We start from the raw sequence: 6,000 nt of genomic DNA, 5'->3' as shown, positions 1-6,000 counted from the left end.
TGATTTAAATCCTTCATTACTCAGGGCATCTACAGGAATAACGCAGTGTGGCTTTATCAGTTTGCCATCAGTTATGCTACAAAACCCAGCTCAATATATGAAGGATCATACCTCTATGTAAAACCAGTACTCACTCTTTTGTTTCTCATTTCTTTTTTAAAAAATTCTAATACTTTAACCCAATGTATCCGAAATGTTATGTAAATATGGAATTGATGTAATATTATTAATAAAGGGTTTTTTGGTACTAAATCTTTCAACGTCACTCTGTATTTGAAGCTTCTACCACTTCACAAATGCAGACCAGCCACATTGCAGGTGCTCAGTAGCCCCATGTAGCCAGCGGTTGCCACACTGAAGTGCAGCTCTGGGGGCTCTGACTCTTCTGACTTCAGGGACATGAAGGGCATAATTTCCCTTTTCTGCCAGAGGAAAGAAGGGAACACCCTCTTCCAGCCAATATCTATCCTCAGGTCCAAGGGTGGGAGAGACAGTGGGCAGAGAGAGAAAGAGAAGGGAGATGCAAGCAGGAAGTGTCCACAGGTAGAACATTTTCTCCCACCTAATGCTTCAGGGTGACCTATCCCCCCTTCCAAAGTTCAGACAGTGAACAAACGACATAAGGCCCCAGAGAAGGGAGCCCAGGTCTTCAGATTTATCCACAGCCTTGACCTCTGGAATTTAGATGGGGAGGAAATAGGTTAAAGGCAAACTTGTTATTTTGTAATTTGACCCTGGTCCTAATGGTCACACTGTGGTTCTTTCTGTGGCATGGGGACCATGTGAGGTTAAGCACATCCCATGCATACATGTCTACATGCATTTCTGTATAACTCAACAACATCTGACAAGAGATACAACCTTAAAAAAGGGGGAAGAATATCAGTACCTACAGGGTGCCTTCTGTTTACCAGGTAAACAGTAATCAGTCTGTCATTCAATCTTGACATCCTATCTGCACTGGGTATACATATTAGTTAGCTGTTACTGCATAAACAAACACCCCAAAATTTATTAGTTCATGACTGAGCTGGCCAGCTATTTCGGCTGGGCTCAGCTGGGCCATTCTTCTGGTCCCAGCTAGGCTCCTTCAGGCATATGTGGTTGGCTGCCAGTTGAATAGGTAGCTCTGCTTCTAGTGGTGAGCTGGCTGTCAACTGAGGTGCTTTGGTTTTCCTCCCCATGGTATCTAATGCTCCAGCAGGTTAACATTGGTTTGTTCCTGTGGAGATGGCAGAGTTCTGAAAGAAAAAGCAGACACATTGAACAACTTTTGTCTCTAGATCCCAAACTGGTACACTGTCATATTCATAGCTTTCTATTGGCCAGAGCAAATAAGGCCAATGAGATTGAAGTTTTGGGAAACAAATTCTGTACTGGGGGGAGCTATAAAACTACGTGGCTAAGGACATGTATGTATACAAGGAGGAATGAAGAACTGCTGCTGTTTTTGCAATCAATATCATTATGTATTTTCTTTCAGATACTTTACATGACCATTCTAGGTCAAGGAATTTGTCCAAAGCCCCACATCCACTAAGTGGCTGGGCTGGGACTCAGGATTAAATCTCCCTGACTCCAAAGTCTGGGTACCTCCATAGACCACATGACTCACACAGCTCCCCTAGTCCTGCAAGGTCCTGGAGAGTGACACTTCCACAATGGAAGCCGGATTCCTGTGAGGTTCTTGTCCATCTAGTACTCTTCAGCACTGGGAATAATCCCCTCCTGAGAAGGCTTCTGAAGTGTCTTGCAAGGACTTGGAATAATCTGGGGAAATGGCAGAGCACTGAGTTTAGAAAATCAAGACCTAACATTATATTTTTCATTTCTCACCACAGGAGAAATTTGAAAACATGTATAATGCACTCCACATGTCGGCAAATTCTTTTCATTCCTTTTTGGTATTTGTAGGCTATTTATGATTTTCAACACAGACTAAATCAAAATACTGTGCCTGAAACAACCTCATACTCTGAAAGCAAGTGACATAAATATAGATCTGTTGAAAAAACATTTCCTCCTTCTGCAGTTTAGCTGAACAGCTGAGAGTGTCTTCAAGTTGTCCTTTGATTTTACCAGAGCAGAGCTCTAAGATCTAAGATCTCAACAGATCATGTGCATGTCAGGCTATGACATCATCTCAGAAGGTTGCCCATATCCTAGGCCTGGGGATGGAGTGGCAAAAGGGTTGCACTGGCTGTTGGGTAGTCATGGGTCCACAGGTGAGATTCATTCATCAGGTGAAGTGTTTTGGGGTCCTGATGTTTATGGCAAATTAACATATATATGTTACTGAAAGTAAATTGTAGAACATTATAAATACTAAATCTATATATAAACTAAATGTCAACAGTTATAATTCTTGTAATTTATCATCATTGTAAGTACAATTATTATTCATATCACTATCAGAAGCAATAGTTGTTGCTGCAGCTGTTGTTTTAAAAATGGTGATAAAAACACTGAGTAAAGCTCTGTGGCCTCCTCCTGTTGCTGTTTCTGGGACTGCTGGCTTACTAGTTGGGTGCAGACTTGGGACCTTTCCAGTGAAGCTGCAGCTGGAGAGACTTCAGGTGGTCTGCTGTGGCTAAGGAAGAGCCTGAATCAAGAATGAAAGTAATGATCCTATGAATGTAGTGAGGTAAGATGGTTCTGTGGGGTACCATCCTACAATTTTGAAGGAGAAGGGCACACACCACTTAATGAACCTGTGGAAGCCTATGGTGAATGACAGGGTTTGTTCCTGAGGCAGATCAGATTCTGATTTGATGGGTGGTGAGTCTATGAAACAGATACACCTGAGATAACATGCTCCCGCCAGCTCTGGCCCAGAGTCTGTTGCAGCACCTCTCCCTAAGAACATAGGGTTCACTCTTGGGTCTCTGGCTGGCCTCATGACCAGTCACCCTACATTTGGAGACATTGTTGCCAGCTCTTCTTGAACAGAAGCCATGTCTATATCTTGGGTGGAGGGGAAACAAGCTGATAGATCGCCATCTGTTCCTCATTTCTTAAGGAAATGAGTCACTTCAATTATCAAGTCTTAATTCACTACTACTATAAAAGGTATAACTTCCATTGACTAAAAATCAAATAAATATTTTTGACCATTTGCAAAGTAGAGTTAAATGTAAATAAAACTTTATTTTTAACATTTAATAATATTGAGCTAAAATTTAAAGAAAATTTAAATGGTTAAATGGGTTTAACTATTATAAATGGTATAAAATAAATATTTCTTATATTTTCTCATATTTTATATATTTTTCTGTGTAATTGATGAACTAATCGGCAACTACCACATGTTCCCGTTTCTTTTTCCCTCGCTTTGTCATTTTTTCTTTCTTCATTAGTTCCTTCCTTCCTTTCTTCCTTCCTTCCTTCCTTCTTCCCTCCCTTCCCAATTCAATCTAATAGTCATTGAGCAGGCCTTAGGCAAGCAGTAATAGCTTTAGAGCATGTCTGTAGGTGCATCCCAAGGACAGCTCATGTTATCAGTCCATATGAGGATAGCTTTAGAGTGGGAAGCAAGGCAATACAGTAACAGCAGCAGTGGTGGCCTTCTGATAATGGCTTTGTAGCAGTGTGTCAAAGGCAGCACTTTGGGAGGCTGAGGCAGGCGGATCACCTAAGGTCAGGCATTTGAGACCAACCTGCCTAATATGGTGAAACCCCGTCTCTACTAAAAATAGAAAAATTCGCTGGGTGTGATGGTGGGCACCTGTAATTCCAGCTACTAAGGAGACTGAGGCAGGAGAATCTCTTGAACCCAGGAGGCTGAGGTTGCAGTGAGCCGAGATCATGCCATTGCACTCCAGCCTGGGCAACAAGAGCAAAAACTCTGTCTTGAAAAAAAAATGGTCATAAACATTTAAAAACGGAGGCAGAAGTTTAGTTGGTATAATTGTAACCCTGTTCTGTTTCTTGGGTCATGGTCTTATAATTTTATCTTTTAAACAACTTATTCTCACACCAACAGTTAGAATTTTTCTTTTAGAAATGTAGATAAATCACATCACTTTTGCAGCACCTATGACTTCCTAGCTCACAGAGAAGTCTGAATCTTGATAGAAGAGGCCCTGCAAGATCTCATTCCCTTCTTTCTCTAAAGTCAATCTAATCTCACTTCCTCTTGTTCTTGGCCATAATTACTTGGCCCCATTGATAGGGACCCCATTGCTAGGCTTGCTTTTCCCCTCTCTTTGATAAATAAAGTTATCCTTTCCCCATCTCCTATCTCGTCAACTCCTGTATGCAGCAGAGTCAACTCATTCCTAATTTTCTTGTCCTTGGAAAAAGTATTAAAGTATTCTAATTCATTTATGTTGACTAGAATAGTTCATGTCTTTTCCAGAAATTCTGAACCTATTCTCTTTCTCTTTTTTTTTTCTTGTGGATTCTCCTTCTTATATGTTCTCCTTATTCCAAACTGAGATTAAGCCCTGCCTCCATTATTAAGCATATCATTTTTTGTCTATCCCTCTTATTCAAGGAAGAATCACAAACAAGTAAAAACAAGTAAAAAGACTTGAAATCCGGAGCAAAGAAATTGGGCAATGGGTAGAGACTCCATTCTATTGTAAGGTCCTGTTATTTAGAGCCCTTTCATACTAAGTTGTATCAGCATGTTTTCTGGTTAACTGAAAAGTCAGGATAATATATATTACAAACTTTTATCTTCATTGTATATGGTGTATATAATTCTCATCCAATGTAAATTGTATTAAAAATCAAATATCCTGCATGAACAAAATGTACTTCAATTTGCTTTGATAATTATACAACTTAAAAGATGGTGTCATCTAGAAAGGAGCACATTAATTGAATGGATAAAATGAGCAATTTGTACTTTGATGTTTCCTATTCTATTTTACTTTATGTGTGTAAATTTATGGGGTACAAGTATGATTTTGTTACATGAATATATTGTGTAGTGGTGATGTCAGGGCTTTTAGTGTGTGTCCACGTATCCACATTATTTAGCTCTCACTTATAAATAAGAACATGTGGTATTTGACTTTCTTTGTCTGAGTTGTTTCACTTAAGATAATGGCCTCCATTTCTATCCATGTAGTTGCAAAAGATATAATTTCATTCTTGTTTATGCTCAATAGCATTCTATTGTGCGCATATATATATATTGCATTTTCTTTAGCCAGTATCTTTGCTGTTGTGAATAGTGCTGCAATAAGCATATGAGTATGAGTGTCTTTTTGATGTAATGATTTCTTTTCGTTTGGGTAGATACCCAAAGTGGAATTGCTGGATAAAATGGTAGTTCTATTTTTAGTCCTTTAAGAAATCTCCATAGCAGTTGTTTTCCATAGCAGTTGTACTATTTACATTCCTGCCAACTGTGAATAAGTGTTCCCTTTTCTCAACATCCTTGCCAAAATTTACTTTTTGTATTTTTAATAATAGCCATTCTGACTGGTGTAAGATGATATCTCATTGTGGCTTTGATTTGCATTTCTCTGATGATTAGCAAGGTTAATCATTTTTTTCATATGCTTGTTGGTCATCTGTATGACTTTTATTGAATGTATCTTAATGTCTTTGCCTGCTTTTTAATGGAATTATTTTTGTTGTTATTGAGTTGATCAAGTTCCTTGTAAACTCTGGATATCAGTCCTTATTCAGATGTGCAGTTTACAAATATTTTCTTCCATTCTGCAGATTTTTTGTTCACTCTGTTGATTATTTCTTTGGCTGTACAGAAGCTTTTTAGTTTGATTAAGACCCATTTGCTTATTTTTGTTTTTGTTACTTGTGCTTTTGAAGTATTAGTCATGAATTCTTTGCCTAGACTGATGTCCAGAAGAGTTTTCTCCAGATTCCCTTCTAGTGTTTTTATAGTTAAATTTATTAGTCAAAAGCTTACAAGTAAGTCTTTATCTTTAGTTGATTTTTGCATATGCTGAGAGATAGGAGTCCAGTTTTACACATCTGTATATGGCAATCCTATTTTCTCAGCACTATTTATTGAAAAGAGTGTGC

This window comes from Homo sapiens, chromosome 3, assembly GCF_000001405.40.
Source record: "Homo sapiens chromosome 3, GRCh38.p14 Primary Assembly".
Classification (NCBI taxonomy): domain Eukaryota; kingdom Metazoa; phylum Chordata; class Mammalia; order Primates; family Hominidae; genus Homo; species Homo sapiens.
This window is presented reverse-complemented; position numbering follows the sequence as displayed.